Here is a 24476-nt window from a genome sequence, read left to right as displayed (position 1 = left end):
CATTACAAATATTTGAAAATGTGTACCTCACACATTACTAAACTGAAAGCAAAAGTGTGGGTTTATAGAAAAGCATAAACTAGGAAATCTTAATTTTTTCAAAAAGAGTCCTTTTAATATGAACATTAATCTGTAAGATTTCTTTAGTTGTTTTCAACAAAATAATGGATAAAAGGAGGAACAGTTTCTTTATTCTGTAGTTTATATTCACATAGTAAATATAAATTAGGGAGATTCAACATATTTTACATTGCACATAATTATTCTATTAATATTCTATAAACTGTTTATTTTTCCTTTGGTAAGTACAGATGGGGAAGTTGAACAAAATCTGCATACAAGAAGACTTTCTAAAAATAGAAAAGACTTTCTAAAATCTGCATAGAAGAGACTTTCTAAAATTACATTTTTTCTAAAAAACTAAAATGCACTTTTCTTCTTTAGGAAAGAATGACTTTTATTCAGTATTCATCTACAGTTTGCCAAGAAAGTACTTCCTTATCCATTTTTCCTTTAATTTGGAAGAAACATTAAGAGCTATAGATTAATTTGCAAGATTAATTTGCAAAATTAATCCATTTATGTATTTCATGTTTTTTCTCATCTTGATAGACACTTACTATAAATGTCTGAACCATACAAAATAGTAACATTAGTATAAGTCATTAATAGTGTTTTGAAATGAATTTAATCAAAGAATCAGGAGGAAGAAAGTTGATATTATAATGGGAGAACTGAAACACACAGTTGCATTTTTTAAAAAATCATGGCTTCTTCAGCAAACACAGTAAAGCACTTATTGGTGTTTAGAAAACAAATATGATTTATTTTTCTCATTTCTTGTTAGAAAGCAATTGAACTGAACCCTAAAGATGCTACTTCAATTCACCTTATGGGTATTTGGTAAGAAAATTTCTTTAAATATTTCAGTAGTATTTAGTGTGATATTTTGTAGTATGTATAAATATCTTCTTTTGCATATATAAAAGATATTAAATATTTTAAAATATTATCTGACAGAGCTTAGAGTGCTAAATCCATTAACTAGCCCTTGTATATATATTGTTAGAACATACTAAATTTGATTATGACCATGTTAAACATTGTTATTCAGGTCATTTAGAAACATGTACAGACTGAAAAGACTATTCTTATTTACCATGCTAAATGAAATTAGATTAATGTAACTATAGTAAAACAGTAGAATGCCCCAAGAGGGTCTTTGTATCTTCAAAGTGTGTCAGATACAGTCTTGATTAATCTGAGGAACCATATAATCTGATTTTCAGTATCTTTCTATTTTTATGTGATCTTATGTCCACTGTAGATTATTATTTTGCTGGTATGAGGCTTTATCAAAGTGTTACGTACTTGATGGTTTAAGAGTCTGTTTTGAGATAGATGGGACACTCTTTTGAGTATAGCCTGCAGAGCTGAATATTTACTGCCATCTAAGAAGGGTACCAGTGTAAACTGTCCTGTATCAAACTCTTTTAAAAGAGAAATATATTCTTCAGGATAAAGGACATATTAAGCTAACACTCATTCACTGAGGATTAATGATAATTGAGGGGCAGTCACTAAGTCAGATGCTAGTAAGCAAACCCAAATGAAATAGCAATTTCTGCCTTAAGGACTTCAGACCCTAGTCAAAGATGCAACACTTTCTTTCCTACTTATTTCTGAAAGTTGTAAAGATCTTTGGAGGTTAATCATTTGCTTTGCTGCTTTAAAAATAGATTTAAGTTGTTGGTTGCTGTTATTTATACATTTGATGTTTAGCTTTGTCATTTTTCTTGTGTAAGGTTTAACTTCTCTGAGTTTTTCTTATAAGAAAAATAGGGGAAATTATCCTATCTCATATATAATTGTTACAAGGAATAAATGAGAGAATCAACCCACTACCTGGCACAATGCACTCAGTGGTAGATGTATATTATATTACTGTTATTAGTATGACTGCTTACTATTTATATTTAATCACAAAATACACCCCCCAGCTAAAGGATCACTATGTCAATCTCTGGATTACCTAGTAGATATCATGTAAAGCACAAGTTGTTTAAACATACAGTAGAAGATTCCTTTTATAGTATTAAGATGCTTAGTTAACTTTAAGAGAAAAGAAGGTACAATTTGAATGTATAAAATTGTTTTATTTCCCTGTAGGTGCTATACATTTGCCGAAATGCCTTGGTATCAAAGAAGAATTGCTAAAATGCTGTTTGCAACTCCTCCTAGTTCCACCTATGAGAAGGTAGTATGATGTCCTTTGTTAAGTTAGTACGGATTTCTTAACCACAGCGCCATTCTACCATGTGTTCACACATGTGGAGCTCTGATTCAGTGAGGGACTTGAGCAATTTCTAATGATCCAATTCAACTGTGTTATCACAAGGCTTAACACTTATTATCCTTGACTGGTGAGTGGTTTTCTTTTTCCCCGTTAGGTGAGTGGCTGGTAATTCTGGAATACTGTCATCTAAAATGGCTCGTGGCTAAAATCTACCTTCATTTTCTGTTTGAAATCTAAACTATATTGAAGTCATAAAATAGAACAAGAAATACAGCATCTGTTACCCAGCATGTTTTAGCTGTATTACACACAATAACAGAAAAGTAAAGCAGATGCTTAAGTTGATAAAAGAAGAACACTCATTATAACTTCTATTTTAAAAAGCATATGAAAGGTTCATATTCTCTCATATTTTCAAGGCCTTTTGCTTTTCTTGTTAAAAATAAGATTTGAGAGGAATTTCTGGTTAAACTTTGGGTTTACTCATCACAAGCTTTTCAGAGTAAGAAAACAGGCAATCGAAAAAGCTGTACTTGTATTATTTACATTATAACAAGGAGCTTTTTTTTCTTTCTGGGAAGCTATAGTGTAGAAATTGATGTAAAAAATACTTAGTTGTATTCTTTACACACAGTTGAGAAATATTATTAAAATAATGCACCAATATTTTATAATGGTATTATTAAAATAATGCCCATTTGCTGGACACGGTGGCTCATGCCTGTAATGCCAGCATTTTGGAAGGCCAAGGTTGGTGGATCAGTTGAGCCTGGGAGTTTGAGACCAGCCTGGGCAACGTGGCAAAACCTCTGCAAAAAAAATACAAAAATTAGCCAGGTGTGGTGGCCTGTGCCTGTAGTCCCAGTCACTCAGCTAAGCTGAGGGAGAAGGATCACTTGAGCCTGGGAGGTCAAGGCTGCAATAAACAGTGATTGCGCTACAGCATTCCAGCCTGGGCAACAGAGTGAGACCTGGTTCTTTTTTTTTTTTTTTAAGACAGGTCATTTTAAGGACAAAAAATATAGTCAGCTCTACTTTATCAAATTAGTTATGTTTCTAGAAATCAAATGTCATTAGAGAATGCATTACAAAAACAGTAGCTTAAGTAGGACAAAAAGAGTTTCAGACTTAACATTGTATGTAGGAATTTCAATAATAATGGACTCTTAAAAATTCACTAGTACAACGAATAAATTCAGCTTTTGATTATATTTTGTTTTTACTAAAAATCACTAGTTATGATTTAAGAGAACTGTCAAAATAGCTGAGTTACACGTGATAATGTTCTTTCCTTTCTGCACATGATGTTAGTTTGGTACAAGTTCTAAACAGCAACCAAGTTATTACCAGAAGTAGTCCATATATTGTAATCTTGATGATTGAAGTGTTACGTTCACTTTGGGTGTTAACTCTCACTGTTGAAGAAGTGACCATTATTTTAAGATGATTTACTTCCTGACTTAAATATAATATAGCAGTAGATCTTTGAGACAATGCTTTTTTAATATTGTCTTCTTTAATCTTTTTTATTATGTTTGGGCTCTTTGTGTTTTTGACAGGCCTTAGGCTACTTTCACAGGGCAGAACAAGGTAAGGTATTTTTGATTACACATATTAATATAGTTAAAATTGTATGAATGCTGAATATATACTATAATAGCAATGTCTAAAGCAGTTGTTTATTCTGTTATACTTATTTTTGTGCTAGATACTGTAAAACAATTTTTAAAGTCTTTATTCAGTAAAGATCACCTGAATGAGAAATAGGCTGCTATTGAACTTAGAGCTGCAGTTCTGGAATGTCTATCATTTGATGTAATTCTGCTTCCTTTGTGAGAGCAGTCTCTGACATGGTAATTGTCTTATTCAAGACTGCACATATTGGCCAGATGTGGTGGCTAACACTTGTAATCCCAGCACTTTGGAAGGCCAAGGCAGAAGGATCACTTGAACCCAGGAGTTTGAGACCAGCCTGGGCAACATAGCGAGACCTCATCTCTACCAAAAAATAAAAATAAAAATTAGCCAGGTGTGGTAGCACACACCTGTAGTCCCAGCTACTCAGGAGGCTGAGGCAGGAAGGTCACTTGAGCCCAGGAGTTCCAGGCTACAATGAGCTGTGATTGCACCACTGCACTACAGCCTGGGCCACAGAGTGAGACTTGTCTGAAAAAAACAAAAAAAGATTATGCATCTCATTAGAGGCATTTAAATGGGAATTCTGCTATTCAGCCAGGCTAGTTCTATTGCAGATATTGTGAAAAAGAGTTTCGGGTTATGTTTGTTTTGAAAAAATGACTAGTCCTATGAAACTGCCACCAGCCCATCCTAAATTTATCCTTTTTAATATTCATACACCAAGTGGGGGAGATAAGAGACATAAGCATATGATACCAAATAGACCATAAAAACCATTGAAATATATTCTATAAAACTTAATCAGGAGAAGACATACCATGTTTATTAAATTTGAGATCCCACACATAATGGACTTGTTCATTTCATGATAACAGTTATCTTCTACAGAATTTTATCTGAATGTTTTATCTCTGTAATTCATCAATTCTGATTTATTCATTATTACCTTCACTGATACCCTCTCTTGATCATACTGTTTCACATATCATGAATATGAATCTAGGGATGACTTTTTTTAACAGATTTAAAAGTTAATTACAAAGTAAAAATATAGGACCTTAGAGACTTAAGGGTTGGGGGTGTTGAGAAAAACATGGTCCTACCCTCATGGAGCTAAAATAATCCCTGGTAACTTCAGTCATTCTTGAGTGACCTTACCTTATTTCTTTCTGGCCTATATTCAGTTCAGAGGCTCCTCTGATGCCCTTAGTATCTTTTATTTTTCCAGTGATACTTATCACTCAATACTATGAACATTTACATGTGTAAGACTGTACATTCTGAGAAGATGTGGACTTTGTCTTTTCTGGCTCACAATTGCACACTCATTACTTGGCACAATGCTTGGCAAATCTGTTGAATGACTGAGTAAATAGATGAATGATCGGATGATTGAATATACGAATATATTTAACCCCAGGACAACTTAAGTATATCAACATGGCATCACACAAATCTGCTCAAATAAAAGAAGTAAAACAATTTTGGTTAAGGAGCAAATGGAGTTAATCATTAATTGTATACAGGAAAAAGTATGCTTTGAATACAGAGGATCTCAGATTGTTAGGGGGACACTTTGTGAAGAATTAAGTTGGTGAGATAATTCCATGTTTTCATTCATAGGCTTTCTGTTTATGCTTTTCTTTCAGCCAAGAATGTTCTCCACTTTTTTTTTTGGTTTCTTGTAGCAGTTCAAAGTTTGTATATCTAGTAAAGCATTCCTTTCATTTTTATATTACATTTAGTTGTGTTCATGTTTCTCTCTTCATTATAAAGTTGAAAAAAACAGAGGTTTTGTTTCATCCTCTATGTTTAAGTATAGCTGACATCCAGTAAATGTTGATCAAATATATATATGTCATCATCATTTCATTCACTTATTCAGCCGATGTACACTGAATGTATGTTATGTTTCACACACTGTTGTAGGCACGTGGGGTACCATAGGGAACTAAAGAGATTAAAAAGAGTATTGCTGTCCTCAAATAGCATACATTCTATCGGGAGCTTCAGCTTCTCATCTATAAAATGGAGATACCTACTTACAAAGTTGTGAAAATGAGAAATGTGTATAATGCAGTGCCTAGCACATTTGTAGATGTTTATTCATTGGTAATTATTATTTTACAAATATTTGTTTGAGATATAAACAGTTGAACAAAAGAGAATTCCCATTAGTCTAATCACTTATTGACCACACAAATTTATTGAAATTTAGACCTCAGAAACAAACCTTTAAAAATAAAAGCAACACTGTTTCCTCTGAGATCATTTTTTCTTTCTTATGTGCAGTGGATCCAAACTTCTACAGCAAAAACTTACTTCTTTTAGGAAAGACATACTTGAAACTACACAACAAAAAGCTTGCTGCTTTCTGGCTAATGAAAGCCAAGGACTATCCAGCACACACAGAGGAGGATAAACAGGTAAAACATCTCCCATAAAGTAAGGCAGAAAGGTTTTGAGGCACTATTAAATGGTGAATTAAGAACTTCTTTAAAAGCATAATTTTCTAAATGCATAATATTGTTGAAAACAAGTGTGTTCATTTCAAGTGTAAATTGATTGACATTTATATTTCTATATAGGAAATAATTTAGTTACTATCACCAGGTGGATGTTACGGGTTGCCTGCTACAATGCAGAATTATTCCTGTTTGACACACATGGCAGATCGAGTTAACATTTCTAAAACATAAAAGTCATGGGATGTGTACTAAAGTGGAAGAGCTGAGAGTCTCATCTGGTCACTGTCAAGACATTTTATTGTTATAATGTCCTATCTGGTTTTTGGAAACTCTTAGAAACCCCACTTTATAAACTTAAATTTCACAAGTTAGTCTCTTAGCTCTCCTGTTTACTTATAACATGTATTTTTCCATTTTAGATACAGACAGAAGCTGCTCAGTTGCTTACAAGTTTCAGTGAGAAGAATTGAGAACTTTTCAGAGAAGATTTATGAAATAGCTAATAAACATTGCCTTTTCTTTTAATTCTAAACTTAATATATGAACTATAACTGTTCTACGGCTTTTTAAATGTTGTGACCATTTAACCGTGTAAATATAAAATATTCTAGGCTTCTTCACAAATAATAGGGTAAAATAAATAATCGCCATAAGAGTGGTAGAAATAAATCTCCATGGCTCAGGCAAAGAGATTATTTTGCATCCTGGATACCAGCAATGCAAAATGGTATGAGATTTCTAAGGATTGATCACATTGGGATGGGAGATCAAGCAAAGAAATATTTGTAGAGGAGGGGAAATGGATCTATAGGGGATATACAGGGGGATGGATTTTCAAATTGGATTGATTCTAAGTTGAAATCTTGAAGAGAAGGTGTGGTGACAGTGGTTAGGATGTTGTGGGTTCCTGACATAAAGTAGTTAAATGATATATCTTGGAGCTAACCTGTGTAAGTAAAGAACTAAGTAAGGAGATGACTAAAAATGGAGTAGTTTCCTTTTTTATTTTTTTGAGACAGAGTCTCACTTTGTTTCCCAGGCTGGTGTGCAGTGGCACAATCTCGGCCCACTGCAGCCTCCGCCTCCCGGGTTCAAGTGATTCTCCTGCCTTAGCCTCCTGAGTGGCTGGGATTACAGGGTTGTACCACCACACTCGGCTAACTTTTGTATTTTTGGTAGAGATGGGGTTTTGCCATGTTGGCTAGGCTGGTCTCAAACTCCTGGCCTCAAGTGATCTGCCCGCCTTGGCCTCCCAAATTGCTGGGATTACAGGCGTGAGCCACCGCACCTGGCCAGTTTACTTTAAATGTGGTGTAGTCTCATGGTAAACTGAATTTGTCATCAGATGCAAAGTTCTATTCCCTAATGGAATGGAAGGAACACAAAACTTAAGAGTGAAATGGAATACTAAGATGTTTTTAAATAGGCAGGACTATGCTACTCACTTGAGGCTGGAGTGCCACCACTGCAAAATCTTTTTAAGTTTTGTAAAAAGGAGCATCTTGAATCCACTTAGATAAAGACAGACTGTGTGTGTAGGTGGATTTTTCCCAAAGGATTTGGGAATTGTAATGTTACAATGAACTGTATGGATATGTTTGTCATGTACATTTTCAAACAAAAAGGAAAACTGAAAGTAGTGATCTTTGTATACCCATCTCTTAGATTCAGTGATTTTGCTATATAGGTTGTGTATCCCTTATCTGAAATACTTGGGACTAGTAGAAGCATCTTGGATTTGGGATGTTTTTCCAAATTTTGGAATACCTGCATACACACAATAAGATATCTTGGAGATGGGACCCAAGTTTAAACACAAATTCACTTGTTTCATATATACCTTATGCACATAGCTTGAAGGTAACTTTATATAACATTATTTTTAATAATTTTGTGCATTGAGACCAAGTTTGCATACCTTGAACCATCAGAAAGCAAAGGTGTCATTATCTCAGCCACTCATGTGGGTAATTTGTGGTTGGTTGATGTCACCATCATTCCTGACTGAATGTATATGCTACCAATAAGCAGTTATTTTCTTATACTTATTCATGCATAAGTACTTAACAGTAAAAAATATGACATAACTCGCACAGGAACAAGGATGGCAAAAAAAAAAATATGACACACCACTGATACAGTGAAAAAATAATGTGGTCAGGGTAGCTAGGCAACAGTAGCATCACCAGAAACCTGTATCAGCTGTTAAACGGCAACAACAATGGCAGGCTTTCAGTTTCCCACTTAATGATGCTGTATTTTAAAAGGTTATTGTATACTGTAATTTTATTTTTGTAGGTGAAGAGAAACAGAAGCAGCTGAAGGGCCAGGAAGTGGGTCTTTCTAGGGATGTGGCATTCTGCTGGATGGCTTTTTAAAATGGGTTTTTTCCTTTAGGGAGACCGAATAAACTGTGTTGTGCACCTGCATTTTGACTGTGACCTGTTATGTGAGGTCAGATGTGGAATTTTCTACCTGTAGCATCATTTTGGTGCTCAGAAAGTTTTGAATTATGGAGCACGAATTTCAGGTTTCAGATTTTTGGAAATAGGGATGTTCAACCTGTATTTATACATGTGTGTTTGTGTGTGTATAGACACATACATTTCTAAACCTTTTGAAACTGATTGCAAGCATCATAATAGTTCACCCCAAATGTGTCAGCATGCATTTTCTCAGAATAAAGACATCTTCCTAAACAAACACAAAACCATTATCACAACTGGAGAAGTTAACAGTTCTCTAACATCATCTAATATCTACCCATATTCAAATTTTCTCAAATGTCCCCAAGATGTCTCATGCTTTCTAAAATCAGGATCCAAAGATTATACATTGCATTTGATTTGTTGCTAATCTTTCCATCCACAACAGTTCCCCATCTTTTTCTTCTTGCAACATTGACTTTTTGAATAGGCCAGTCCGGTTGTCATAGATTCTCTCGCATTCCAGATTGGTCTAATTGACCACACTTTGAGAACCGCTGTTCCAACTTATTTCCAGGACTCAAATTAGTTCTATTAGATCTTTGCCTGACTTTCACATTTATCACTTACTGATTTTTCTTTTAGCCTTTTTGTTTCATTTTCTTGGCTCTTTTCATTTATATCTTCCATATCCCTTATTTTACATTTGGTTGTATCTCTTCTTCCTTAGATACTTTATAATTGCCTTCACATCTGATATGTGTTTGTCTTTTTCTCCGAATTTTTTTCCTGATTTTAGCCAGTCATTCACATCTGCATTTTGTTTGTCCAGTTCTGAGTTTTTAAGTTGCTATTTCAGATTTTTTAAATATCTAATAATTTAATTCATATTAGCATATTGTGTTAAAGTTTACTCTCCTTTTTCTCATTTTCAATTTCTCTTTAGAGTGACTTTATTTTTTTTCCCTAGGGATGTAATTTTATGTTGAGTTACCAGCAATACTAGGTCATCAAATGGGAAGAAAGGGTCTGGGTTAGTTCAAGAATATTTTCTGCTTAGTTGTTTGTTTTTTGTGAGATCAGGTATCATTCAATAATAAAGCTTTTTATGGAGGTCTTACCTCCTGATTCCTTATTAGAACTTTAAAAAATATTTTTACTTTCAAAAAATCATAGATTCACAAATTGAAAAAAAAAAAAAAAAGATCCTGTGTACCTTTCTCTCAGCCTATCCCAGTGCTAACATCTCATATAACCTGTAGTACAATAGCAAAACCTGGAAACTGACATTGGTACAGACCACAGACCTTATATTTAAATTTTACCACTTTTAAATGCTCTTGTGTGTATAGTTGTATGCAATTCTATCACATGTAGATTTTTGGTAACTGCCACCATAATCAAGATACAGACCTGTTCCGTCATCACAAAGATCCCCAGTGCTGTCCCTTTACAGTCACACCCATCTACCTCCTCCTCTCCCCCACCCATCCCTAACTCTGACAGCACTAATCTGTTCTCCATAATTTTGTTATTTCAACAATGTTATACAAATGGAATCATACAGTGAGACCCTGTGATACTTTTTTTCACTCAACATAATTCCCTTGAGACCTAAGTTCTATCAATAGTTTGTTTCTTTTTACAGTTGACTAGTATTTCATTTTATGGGCATACCATATCAACCATATGCTGAGGGGCATTTAGGTTATTCCTGATTTTTAGCTATTACAAATAAAGCTGCTATGAGCATTATATGCAGGTTTTTATGTCTACATAGATTTTATCTCTCTGGGATACATGCCCAGGAGTGTGGCTCCTGGGTCCTTTTATCTTCATTTTTCCCCTTTACTCTCTGAGGGTTAGGTTTCTTCTGCAAGACATGGTGCCTTCCCAAGATTCTGATTCTGTGCACTAAGTCTCTTCCATTTGACTTCCCAGGAGCCTGATTCCCCACGTGTCACATTGGTCCGTGACGTTTCCCCACTAAGGGTGAGACCCATTACTGAGAACAAACCCCAGGAATCCCTTACATTCTCCTTCCCGTGCAGCCCCCACCTGATTGTTCTTGTGTGGATTCCAGAGCTGACTGCTGGATTGAGATGCTTATTTCCCCACGTACATGTATATCAAAGTAAGTTGGTAGTACTCTGTGTTCTAAGTGTTATTACATACATAGGCTATATCTCTCCATTATAGATGTTTCCTTCCTTCCTTTTGAGGATATGAGTAGAATACTGATTTTGGAAAATGGCCGTGATTCTATAAGAACCTAAAAGCTCTCAATTTCTTGATGGCCAAGTTATCTCAACTGAGTTTTTAATCATGGGCTGTGTACTAGCTGTGGGTGTTGTAAAAATGGCTTCTCTCATACTCACTTTCCTCATGTATAAAATAAGCATCATTAAAGACAACCCCACCAATTTCATGGAATTGTAAGGATCAAGAGAATAATTTATGTAAAGGATTTACCATGAATACCAGTAAATACAACTACTATTATCTCTGATTTTGTTCTTGGTTGAGAATTGAGGAGAGAAATTTTGGAATATAGGAGATGTCACTTTTGGACTTAGATCAAATCCTCAGTTGACCTAAAGCTTGGCTTTTAAGGCCAACTGAGTGTTACAGGAGAACTTTTAGTTGTGTATTATTTCAACAGAGGAAGATTTTTACTTCTGCAACATCCACCACATCATCTTAGGTTCAACCAAACATTCAGACTTAATAAGTCTACAATAGGCTGTATTTGGCACCAGTCTACTCAGAAGGCTATAGGACAGGAACCACACAGCTCACCAGCAGGACAATTTTGAACCTCCTCTCAGAAGACGGTCTTCTAACAGCAATCTATGAAATGGTATCTCCCCAGGTGACAGCTCACGGTCCTCCTTAAAGGACATACAGTTACAAGAGTTTTCCACTCAGGTATGCCCAAAGCTGTGGCTTTCTGTCGTGTATCTGGAGATTTCCCAGTCCAGATGCAACTTACCAGTCAGGGTCATATTTACCAAAAGCAAAGCTGCATGGCAATAAATACAGTTGACACATACCATCCTATTTAGTTGTCAGGGTAGGAAGAGCTAGGTAGTTAACAGAAGTCATCAGGGGAAAAGGTTTTGTTAACCTTTTCATTTTCAACTACTTGGGAAGTACATGGGGGGGGCGGGACAAACAAACAAAAAAAACACTGGTAAGCTGCTTTCCCTGGAAGACAAACAACTAAACTGATCTAACAGATAGAATTGTGTTGCTTAACTGATCTAACAGACAGAATTGTATTGGGCCTGTGAGCTATTCCCTGGGCCATTTACTGGTGGTGGGGGTGGGGGAGTCACCAAAATGAAGTAGCAATATAAACCTGTCTCTGAGCCTCCCTCTTGTCTGTTTCCTCATGAACTGTGTTTTGGGCACAGAGAGTCTTGCACTCCTAATTTCTTTCGGTTAGTCCAGCACAGAACAGGAATGGGAAGGGAAGAAGGGGAGAAGGTGAGTGGGGGACCATATTTCTACAGTTTTTCTGACTGCTACTGGGTAGATAAATCAAGAGCTCTGCCTGTAGGTCTTGGATATCTATAATTGGGTATGAAAAGTGGAAGACCCTGATGAATTCTCCAAAACAAAGCTGGTTTTGTCTCTTGTAGGGTTCTGTGTAGCCTCACCTAGTGCATCGTAATTTCTTACTTGAGGGAGACCAGCACCCTGAAAACGAACTGGAAAGCTGCCTTCTTCAGTCAAATCTGCTAAATCATACCTACAATGAATGATATTCAATAACTTCTGTCATGGCAAAATTTATACAGCAGTGGTACCATTTGTAATTCTAATACTTAACTCTTTTATGGTATACGCAGTCCTTTTTGAAGGCCAGTTTCCCTCTATCACATAACCTGTCACATACATTAGAATTTTTTTTTTAATTCTTTAGGCTTGAAAATTACCAGAGTGTTCATAATAAGGATTTGGAAAAGGAGTCTATTCAACCAAGCAGATCTCTGCCTTTCTTTCGTCTTTACTATGAATTCTGAATAAAATGGAGAACACACTCTCAATATGTAGAAAAATAAAATTTTGGCAAAACAATAATTACTGTTTTTCTGTATGTACTTAGCAGTGAAATATTTATAGGCAACAGATTTTAAGAAGTCAGTTCCATGGCTATTAAAAAATGTTTAAGTTAATGAAATTTACAGTGCATATTAAAAGCATGATACAAATGGAAATTTAAAATTTTGTATTAGGAAGCCCAGTTTGCTAAAAGTAGCATTAATATCATTCACATCAGATTTTAATTTGTTACACATTTTTGTAGTTCAGCAAAGGCCCCTATGATGAAAAACAATTAAAAAGTGTTATGACAAAAATAATTATCTGTGTAAAAAGGGGGAGACCCAAAAGATTTTTCATATGGTTATTTAATTCAGTTAAATAGAACTGTTATGAATTTGAGAGGAATGAAGATATTCAAACACTAACAGAAAATCATTAGCCTTATATTAGAGCATTCAAATGCTTATGTAACTCTTCAATCCATCTGGCTTCATAAAAACCAAAATTTTGAACACAAAAAAGTGGCAGAGTTTACATTACCTTTTGTATGTTCCTAAGTATGAAATTGCATCAATTTATTATGAATTAAATTTGAAAAGCATCACAGATTTAAAAACAAAGTACAAAAGAGCCTGATTCTTTTTAATTCCACAAATACCTAGCATCTCAAAGTAACATGTAAACAAACTTCTATGCTGCTCAATGAATCCTTCCAATTTCGATAATAAACTAAATAGTATTGGATCTAGTATATGACTTTCATGTGTAAGTTATGGTTCTATCCATTACTTTAACAATATTACTGATGTAACAGAGAAAAATTTTCAACTATTGTATTTATTTAAAACAAACTGACAAGTTCAAGCACCTGTCTTCAGAAAAGCCAGCAGCATTTTTTTTTTTTTAACATACTCAAAGTAAGATTTGGCCTAAGCCCTTAATACCTTTCTGAACAGCCATGCAACTAAACACCCTCAGGAGATGTTACATAAGGGAGAGAAGAACATGGAGCAATTTGCACTTTTTCCCCTAGATAATATTAACAAGGTAAAGCAAATCCAGATCTTTATGAATGAATGGCTGTCATGTTTAATACACTTGGAGCTCTATAAAACTAGAGCCACTATCATATATGTTTATATAGATATATATGTATTTTTAATAAAGTCTCTCACTTGCTTCAAAATTTAAGGATGATCTTTTTCCTGGTCAGTCATTTCAAGGGAACAATAAATAAAGTAGAAAAGGATGAACTGTTTTGCATATTTCTGTGGAAGAACGGAAAACATACTTTGAGAGGTTCGGAAAATTCACTGTACAGAATGAACAGCTTATATACACTATCTGTGCAATTTTTCTTGGCTGGGGTATTTAAATGCAAGAGCTCCTCCAAAATAAGAAGCCACATTCATTCTTGTCCAAATCCCTCTGTCTCTTCTATTGCAAAAAGAAGTTTTTCCTTTAGTTGTTCATAACTCTTATATGGTGGTAGATCCAAGCGATTAAAACTGAACAGAAACAAAAACAAAATCAGATGTTTTCAATAAAATGAAAAAAATCTAATAGAATACTTTTCAAAGCACATAGAAATGCTGAATGGATATATGTATACTATATATGTTAAAATTTTGCCAGAAGTATTTAGAGTAATCTAAATTTAAGACTTACATATAAAAACTATTTTAACATCTCCAAGAGGAAAATGGAATTACAAATAATAAGTGTAGCAATATGGATAAAGACAAATTTAAAAAAAAAAAAAAATCCATTTTCTTTTTACTATTCCTGTTACATGTGTCATGAGTCCTCTTAACTTCTCTTAGGATAAGAGTCCATTTCTTTCATCCACTCAGTCACTCATTCATCAGTCATTTACCGAGAATTTTTTATATAACTGATAAGCTAGTGATACAGTGAAGAAAACTAAAATCCCTGTCTTCATGGAATTTACATTCTGGGGTAGAGACAGTCAATTAACAAATATATATGTTTCTTTGTCTTTTCAAATAATCTAACCACATATATAAACTCTTCTAAAATGACACTTTTTCAATCTTGCCATACTCAATTCCATTCTGGTATTAACTGATAAAAATTTTAAAATACTAAAAAATGCTTAAAATAACTATTATTTTTCAGTTTACAAAGGTGGAATAACATTTCGTTTTGTGAGGTACAGCACTGAGTAGCTAGATTAGGATTCGGGTGTTCAGGGTTTTGGTCCCTACAGTAGCAGTGACTAGTGAGATAGCCCTGAGTAAGTCAGAACCCTTCTGTACCTTCATTTTCCCATGTGGAAGGTTTCTAGAGATTATCCAGGTGCCTTCTTACCACTGTCACCACTTTCCATGTGCCCTTGACCCTCCCATGTCAGAGTCAGGAAAGAGCCTTTGAAACAAGGCATCTAAATAAAACAGTGCTGTTCTAAGACTGTATTCTTTGTATTTTAAATGAAGTTAAAGATATTAATAGCAGCAACTAAGCAGACCATATACTGCCCTCCCCTTTATACTTCAAGGTAGAGTATGATAACAAGGTCAGAAAAAAAAATTATTTTTTAATACTTCCTATACAAGACAACCAGTCACTTTCTGTTCTCTTACATCTTTCACATATAGCCTTTGCCAAATTCTGTCATTCTATCTACCAAATATTCCATTTTTTCTCCTGATTATTTATTTGGAGACAGGGTCTGGCTGTGTCGCCTAGGCTACTGTCTCGGCTCACTGCGACCTCGACCTCCCAGGCTGAAGCAATCCTCCCTCCTCCCACCTCAGTCCCTGGAGTGGCTGGGAGTACAGGCGCATGCCACCATGGCCAGCTAACTTTTGTATTTTTTTTTGTAGAGACGAAGTTTTGTCATGTTGCCCAGGCTCCTCCTCATCATTTCTACTGCCACTACATCCCTTTGTATATGCTTCCCCATCATCTCTTACCTGGACCATCAGAGAATTCTTTGGGTCTATTTGTTTTGTTTCTTTTTTACTTTTTGCTAAAAAGACATACCAGTTTATGCCACTCTTCAAAAACTTTTGCTGCTTTCGAGTTGCTATGGGTGGGGAGGGGGCTGTGGTGGGGAAAGGAAGCTTATGCTCTTTGCTGTCAACTTGTTTCATGCTCTAATCCAAGTGAGCAATCCAATTTTGCCTAGCAATCTTAGCCGTGTTCCTCTAATGAATACTTGCCTATTCTCTAACAATTCTCCCAATTCCTTCTTTCTCTCAAAAGTTTTTCCTTTCTTCACTCTTAGCCAGTGACTTCTCCTTATACTTTGAGAAAACAGAAATCAGTGGGTGGTAATTACTTTCCTTTCACAAAATTTGAAATCTATTTTAATTCTCCCTTTGACTCAAAAATCTCTCTCTCAATACACACACACACGCGCGCGCATGTGTGTATACATATGGATCTATCACTTTTATTGAAGGCAGAGGTCTTCAAATTTTGGTCACAGGACTCCTTTTCACTCTTAAAAATACTGTCAACCTTGGCTGGGAGCAGTGGCTCATGCCTATAATCCCAGCACTTTCAGAGGCCAAGGCAGGACAGCTTGAGCCCAGAGTTTAAGACCCACCTGGGACAACACAGCAAAACTTTGTCCCTACAAAAAATTAAAAAATTAGCCAGGCATAGTGGCGTGCACTGGTGGTCCCAGCTACTGAGGAGGCTATGGCAGGAGGATTGCTTGAACCCAGGAGGTTGAGGCTGCAGTGAGTTGTGTCTGTGCCACTGCACTCTAACATAGGTAACACAGCAAGACTCTATCTTGGGAAAAAAAAAATGGATTTCCAACTGCAAAGAGCTTTTATTTATATGAATTATAGCTACTGATATTTACTGGATTAGAAGTTAAAACAGAAGTTTAAAAAATATTAATTCACTTTGATATGAAAATAAACATAACATTTTAATGGGAAAAACCCAACTACTTCCAAAAAAAATAGTGGAAAGAGTGATTTTGTTTTAGTTTTGGAAATCTTTTAAATATCTGGTGTAATAGAAAACATATGGATTTTGATATCTAGTTGTACATTTAATCTATAGCCCCACACAGATAAATAGTTAGAAATGGAGATTACTCATCTTGTCAGGTAATTATGGATATTATTCTTTGATACTAAATTTGACAAGGGAATGCACAATATGGGTTTGAAATCAAGTCAAAGAACACTTTGTACTTTGTTATACAAAATCTACTGTTTCCTCTTCTTGCACTTTTTGATCTTTTTTTTGTTTTTTTTGAGACAGGGTCTTACTGTGTCACCCAGACTGGAGTGCAGTGGTGTGATCATGGATCACTGCAGCCTTGACTTCCCCGGCTCCAGTGATCCTCCCACCTCAGCCTCCAGAGTAGCTGGGACTACAGGTGTGTGCCACCACACCCGGCTAATTTTTGTATTTTTTGTAGAGATGGGGTTTCACCATGTTGCCCAGGCTGGTCTCGAACTCCTGAGCTCAAGCGATCCTCCCACCTCGGCCTTCCAAAGTGCTGGGATTACAGGTGTGAGCCACCGTGCCTGGCCTGTCTTGCACTTTGAAAATAACTTTTACCCATGCGTCATTTTGTAACATTCGTTGCAGCATTCACTGATCATTTGAAAATAATGGCTCATCAAATTATAAGGATTTTCTAAATGTTGACACATTTAATTATATAATAGAAAAAAAAATCACATTTGCTAAAATACCACTAATTGGCCGGGCATGGTGGCTCACGCCTGTAATCCCAGCACTTTGCGAGGCCAAGGCGGGCAGATCACAAGGTGAGGAGAGTTTGAGACCAGCCTGACCAACATGGTGAAACCCCATCTCTACTAAAAATACAAAATTAGCTGGGCGTGGTGGTGCGCGCCTATAATCCCAGCTACCCGAGAGGCTGAGGCAGGAGAATCGCTTGAACTTGGGAGGCAGAGGTTGCAGTGAGCCAAGATTGTGCCACTGCACTCCAGACTGGGTGACAGAGTGAGACTCCATCTCAAAAAAACAAAAAAACAAACAAAAAACCCCACTAATCTCATCGAGGAAAGTCTTAAGAAGCTGTCAAGCTCATGGTGGTAATTATCACCACCAACAAATGCCTGTTGTTTTCCTTAAAATGACAAGCTAACATCATTACTTCTCAAGAAAATGTCTGTCAAATACCTAAGTCTACATAAACTGTTGGTGGGTCATTCTTTCAAGTAAAAATAGTGTTCCATAAAAGAAAGCAAGCTAGTTCAGCTTTCAACTCAAACAACTGCCCAAAAGCTTTCCTTCAAGAAAATCATTCTCTGGTGTGCACAAGTGCTATTTCAGACTTCCTATTTTGTCACACAAATGTTAAAAAAACATATACTCAAGCATCAAGATTTAATAAAGTTAGTAATTTTTACTGCTTCATAAAGAACTTCAACGAACTTGCCTTTTTCTTTTTTTTTTTTTTCTTTAAACCTCAAGGGTATGGTGTTGAAGAATAGAGGTAGCAGTTTGGTGCCACTGCCTTGATTTGTGCTAAGGCACAAGCAGGTTCACAAACCATTGCTTTTGCACCACAAGCAGAAATTTCAAAATGATAAAAAGGCAAATAATGGCTTAGTATGAAAATAGTTTTGACCTCTTGAAAGAATCACCTATCTCTAGGATGTCATCTTTGGCCTGGGTAACCATAACAATTTTCTAACTACTCTCCCTGCATTCACCCTTGCATCCAAATCCTTCCCTATACTGTTTTCTGGCCGATTTTTCTGGGATTCATTACTTGTTATTTAAAACTCTTCAAAGCTGTCTAATTTTTCTTTGACATCTCAGTTCTTTAATTAGCCTATAACGCTGTACATAATTTAGTCCCTGCCTACATCCCCCAATTTTTTCATCTCCCTTTCTTCTGATTTACCAAGTTCCAATCACACCTATCATATTCATTTCCTTGAAAAACAATTTCTTCGGGGTCTTTGTTTACTTCAGCATTTCTGTTCAAAGAATGCTCTTTCTCTGCGTACTCCCACATCATGCTCTTTACCAAACACAATTTAAACAAATTACCCCTTCCAAGAAATCTCCTTGACCACCCAACCCAAAGTAGGTTCCCGTTAGTTGTTCTCTGTTAGAGTACTCTCATTTTTCCCTTCGAAGGACTTCCCAGGATTTGCAAATAGTTATTTGTTTATCTGTTTGTCATTTGTGCCCCACCATGGGGCACAAACTTCATAAAAAACAGGGAATACTTACATCTTACTTTATACCTAGTGGGTACACTAATACTTGTTGAATCACTGGATGCATTTCTCAAATATTTCTATTAATGAGAACATGCTAAAGTGTTCAGTTATAGAATGCTGTATTAATCTGTTCTCAAAATTGAAATTCTGACTACTTTAATGAATAAGCAGTTATACTGGATCTTACATATTTTTAAAAAAACAAAACAAAAGATTCTCTGTGGCTTTCACCTTCGTATTTAGGATTCTTGAACTTACCATGTATGGCTTCTTGGTAACCAAGTGTCTTTGCCAACTTTTTCAATGCAAAACTTTTGAGGCCCATTACTTCCTACACCAAGAAAATAAGACAAAGTTTATCTGGTCCTTTAAACTTTTTTCTTCTGACAACTGCTTAAATAATAGAACATGTTGCACAGTCATATGAATGATACAAAATAAAGAAATTCACAATGTAAGCTGCTTCTGCCTGAAGAAGAAAATTGTTGCAGAGATCCAGCAATAAGAATTAGATCATTGGGAAGAAAACTCTCTCTACAGAATGTCGCTCCCTTCACAGTCACCATAGGGAGCAAAGCAATGGCCACCTCAGCTATATGAGGACACATTCATTTTTGTCTTACAAGTGCTTTGATATTAGCCACTCATTTTTCTTTCTTCTAAATGAAGCCCTACCTACAGCACAGAAGAGTAATCTTTAGGTTCAATCAAGTCTATTGTATGTCCAAAGGCCATTATTATCACAAAATTACGTACAGAGAAATTACAGTGAAATTACATTTACCCATGAGCTCAGCAAATCCTCCTAGAGGTAAACGGCAGGTTCCAGTGACGAACTGCAATAGTCGCATTCTTACTTCATTGTCTGTCTCTTTCACAAACTGTAATGAAATTAAATGTACTTTAATATGAAATGCTAAACTATCTTCAATCATGAAAGTAGTAGACACTTGAAGAAATTAAATAACACTGAATTGGTTCAAAAGATGTGCTAAAGGTTGGGCGTGGTGGCTCACACCTGTAATCCCAGCATTTTGGGAGGCCGAAGCAGGCGGATCACGAGGTCAGGAGATCGAGATCATCCTGGCTAACATGGTGAAACCCTGTCTCTACTAAAAATACAAAAAATTAGCCGGGCGTGGTGTCGGGCGCCTGTAGTCCCAGCTACTCGAGAGGCTGAGGCAGGAGAATGGCGTGAACCCGGGAGGTGGAGCTTGTAGTGAGCCAAGATCACGCCACTGCACTCCAGCCTGGGCGACAGAGCAAGACTCTGTCTCAAAAAAAAAAAAAAAAAAAAAAAAAAAAAAAAAAAAAGATGTGCTAAAAAGAGGTTGTAGGGTTTGTCATTTATTAAGGTTGGGCACTATGCTAAGTATACTGTGAACCTCACTTCAGTTCATCCTCATGAGAACACGGAGGCTGGCCACTATTATTACTACATCCATCTTACTGGAAGGAAATACACGAGAATCTTGGAAAGGTTAAGTCATTTATGTAAGGTCATACCAACAAAAGGTGCAACCAAGATAGATGTTGTTGTTGGGTTGTAATATAATAGCTATTAAGGGTTCCTGCCAAATAGTGTGCCACTGGTTTTCATGGATTTAGTTCTCACAACAATTCTATGAGATAGGTAGAATCATTAGCATCCCCACTGTACATATAAGGAAATGGAGGCCTAGAGAGTTTAAATGATTTGTCCTTCCCAAACTGCTAAAGTGGCAGAACTAACATTTGAACTCAAGTCTAGATGAGCCCTAAACCACTGTTATTCCTCCCTGAGTCAATTACCCCTCTCCCCTTTAACCTACAGAAAACAAATGAACACCTCCCTGCTGCCACTCTTAATAGTTTGTGGTATTTTCTCCCATGAAACACCATTTTCCTAACACTTTGTGTTCTTCCTGACTAGTACCTGAAAAACCAAAGTACACATTCCTCTAAAATTATCTATTTCATTGACTGGTTATTTTCAACGACATAAATGGGTAAGGTGGTGAACTACTAATTTGATTGGTTTGAGTATAACAGAAAGCAAGGAACATAGGGAGCAGATTAAGAGTGGAAATGTATCTTAAAAATAGGGAATAAACTTTAGCTAAGGATAAGACAAAATAGCTGTGCTAATCATGACCCAAAATATTTCAGTGAAGAATTGTGCTGAGGCACATATTTCATCAGAACACAAGAAACAAGACTTATTACCAGGTCTGGCACAAACCTCATCACTTTCCCTAAAAGAAACCCAATTCAGAAAACAGAAGTATTCATTTGGATTTATATGACTCTAAGCTTAAGCTCATTAGCTATGTAGGTACAAATGTGTAAACAGAAAGCCATGGAACACCGACTGTAATGAAGCTAGTAAAAAGCCTGAAAGGGAAGATTACAAACAACGGTATGCATACTGTATATAATGCAGTTCAGATATTTTAGGCTTGAAAATGGATTTATTCCTTCCTATTTATGTATGTATTTTATAATAGGTAATAGTATAGAATGCAAAAGGCTTTTATTTAATGAAAATCAGCTTTCCTACCTTTGCCTCCAACTGCTCAGCTCCTCTATAGAACTGTTTCCAGTTTTTTCTCTGCCTTTTCAAAGATGACATATTTCCAAACATACACTTACTATACAGACAATAACTTTTTAACCAAAAAGCACCATATTATACACATTGGTTAGCATCTTCCTTCTCCCCTTAATATTGTATTGAAACATTATTCTCCAACATTTTTGTTAATTTGCATTTTTAAAAAAGGAAAGAAAAGCCGGGCATGGTGGCTCATACCTGCAATCCCAGCACTTCAGGAGGCCAAGGCAGATGGATCACTTGAGGTCAGGAGTTCAAGACCAGCCTGGCCAACATGGTGAAACCCCGTCTCTACTAAAAATGCAAAAACTAGCCGGGCATGGTGGCGCACACCCGTAATCCCAACTACTTGGAGTGGGGGTGCTGAGGCGGGAGAATCACTTGAACCTGGGAGGCAGAGGGTGCAATGAGCTGAGATCCTGTCACTGCACTCCAGCCTAGGCAATAGAGTGAGACTCTGTCTCAAAAAAAAAAAAAAAAAAAAAAAAGAAAAAAGAAAAAGAAAAAGAATGACTCCAAGGTATAGACTTATAAAGAACGGATGTATCATAGTTTATTTACTCAGTACTCTCCTGATGGACATTTAGGTTGTTTCAAGTCTCTGTTAGTATACCAATGATGTTGCATTAAATACTTTGGTATGTGCCACTTTACACACGTTGAAGTATATTTTAAGATAAATTTCTAGAAGTGTCTACATCTCTTTAAAATATCAAGCAATAAACTCACAACATACATCCTTATGAAAAGATGCAACTTTTGGAAAGTGTACTATAACACAAAACCCAGCATTACTCTTCACCTGAAAATGAAACAGTTAAGCAGAAGTAAGCCAGAAGTCCAGTCACTAAGTTGCTCAAAAGAGTCCCAATTAGTAGAGTAGTTATCTGAAGAATATCCCTGATTTGGAGATTTTAAATTCTCTAATAAACACACAAAACAAAAAGTCTATTAAAATAAAATGTTCAAGATTAGTGTGGTACACTTGGATTCCTGAGACCATCCTATTATAGTTTAAGCAAAACACACACGCTAAAAAAATACATAAATAAATGAATAAAGTCATTCTTAGACATTATCCCCTCGATCATTCTTATTCCCTAGTATGTTATTACCTCAGAGGAATTAAAGTATCTGCACTGACTCTCACTACAAACATACTTCCTCATTTACTTCTAGAATTAAGTGGAATTTAGACTACTTTGATACCACTAGAAAAAAATTGCTACGCCTACAACTATTAACATTAAACTATTACTTAAATAAGATTCTGTCACTCAACTCCTTCATTTCAGCAAGACAGTCAAAGAAGCAATAGAAAGTACTTTTAACAAGTGTTCACACTATTCGCTTAGATTTAGAATTAAAAAATTATAAACTGTGTCCAAAAGCAGTCTCAATTAAAAATAATAAGCTATTTTTAAAACCACCATTTCATTAGAAAATATGTTGAGTACTTTGTTTCAAAAAAGATAAAAGCAAATACCTGCCAAAACCAAATGATTTGCTTGCTGTTTCTTGTATAATGTCGATAAACAGTATTTCTCTGCCAATCTGCCAAGTCAACCTCCTGCATGCCACACAACATAACCTGGGAAATGAGCACAGAATCAGGCCACAATAAAGATTTAGTGAAGAGAATAATTATATGACTGAAATTTCCTAATGCAGTTATGCACATGGCAAATTATGTGAAAAGCTATATGCATGGCATATAATGATCACAATAAGCAAATATAACAAAACTGTGGCAATTTAGCATAAAGGATTCTCTGGTACTTTATTTTACCCATGTTTATTGAACTCAAACCAAAAACCGCATTTAGAGTATTCTTCAAGAAAAACAGCTATACTGAAAAGCATGTATCCTTTACCGTATGTATATATGGTATGGTGTGTGTGTGTATTTACACACACACGCACACACATCTATATATATAGATTTATATCTAAATGTGTGTGTGTATCTATTATGTATACACACATTATGTATATATGGTATGGTGTGTGTGTGTAAATACACACATACACATCTATATATATAGATTTATATCTAGATAGATAGATAGATAGATAGATAGACAGACAGACAGACAGACAGATAGATCTCCCCCAAACTGGCTATCCAAATTCATTAGTTCCAAACCTATTTCTGGTTCTCATTTTTAAAAATCTATGCTATCTTATATATTTGAAAATAAAAAAATATACTAACCTCCTATTAATAATTTATCCAGAATAATATTCTCTAGGAATATTCTACTATGTGAAATTGTCAAACAACCTCAACTTATGTATGAAATGAACATTATTTTAGGTATAGTAAAATATGTAATACTTAATCTCTTAGTTTTTTTCGTAAGTCAACTTTGAGGTATAATTTACATACAATAAAATGCACAAACTTAGGTATATAGTTCGAAGATTTTCAACAGATGTATACACCTGTGTAACCACCATTACAATCAAGATATAGAATATTTCCATCATATCCCTTTTTGTAATCAAAATCATCATCCCCTTTTTGTAATCAAAACAATCATCCTCATCTCTAGTTTTAGGTGATCAATGATTTCACCACAGATTATATTTGTCCTTTTAAGAATGTCATATATATGCATACATACATATTTTTGTGATATATAGTGTATACACATATACACACATCCTCTTTTGTTTTTCCCACTCAACATGTTTTTGAGATTCATCCATGCTGTTGTTGGAACCAGTAGTTCATATTTTCTATCACTGAATAGTATTCCATTATATGAATATACAACAATTTGCTTATCCATTCACTTGTTAATG

At 35.5% G+C, this 24476-nt stretch overlaps 2 protein-coding genes across 46 annotated transcripts in view; one reads left to right on the top strand and one right to left on the bottom strand.

The window, feature by feature from the left end:
* Positions 1 to 12914, top strand: part of RMDN1 (regulator of microtubule dynamics 1) — a 46092-nt gene extending 33178 nt beyond the window's left edge. For 4 of the 37 annotated variants that reach the window (XM_005250948.4, XM_005250947.4, XM_005250944.4 and 1 more), the window contains 5 exons: positions 848 to 903; positions 2170 to 2257; positions 3856 to 3886; positions 6227 to 6360; positions 10770 to 11337. In XM_005250948.4, coding sequence (XP_005251005.1) covers positions 848 to 903; positions 2170 to 2257; positions 3856 to 3886; positions 6227 to 6360; positions 10770 to 11027 — 567 coding nt within the window. In that variant the 3' untranslated portion in view covers positions 11028 to 11337. Of the gene's footprint in view, positions 1 to 847; positions 904 to 2169; positions 2258 to 3855; positions 3887 to 5583; positions 5787 to 6226; positions 6361 to 6821; positions 8832 to 10769; positions 11757 to 12472 lie in introns of those variants that run through there. The other 33 variants (NM_001317807.2, XM_047421840.1, XM_047421835.1 and 30 more) reach the window with 11 other exon arrangements.
* The window catches only part of WWP1 (WW domain containing E3 ubiquitin protein ligase 1), a 125957-nt gene continuing 114157 nt past the window's right edge, over positions 12677 to 24476 (bottom strand). For all 9 annotated transcript variants that reach the window (NM_007013.4, XM_024447056.2, XM_005250761.5 and 6 more), the window contains 4 exons: positions 23155 to 23259; positions 19860 to 19956; positions 19334 to 19406; positions 12677 to 14386 (listed from right to left, as the gene is read on the bottom strand). In NM_007013.4, coding sequence (NP_008944.1) covers positions 14287 to 14386; positions 19334 to 19406; positions 19860 to 19956; positions 23155 to 23259 — 375 coding nt within the window. In that variant the 3' untranslated portion in view covers positions 12677 to 14286. The remainder of the gene's footprint in view (positions 14387 to 19333; positions 19407 to 19859; positions 19957 to 23154; positions 23260 to 24476) is intronic.

The sequence above is a fragment of the Homo sapiens genome, chromosome 8, assembly GCF_000001405.40.
Source record: "Homo sapiens chromosome 8, GRCh38.p14 Primary Assembly".
Classification (NCBI taxonomy): domain Eukaryota; kingdom Metazoa; phylum Chordata; class Mammalia; order Primates; family Hominidae; genus Homo; species Homo sapiens.
The sequence above is the reverse complement of the archived record's forward strand: the minus strand, read 5'-3'. Positions and strand labels throughout refer to the sequence as shown.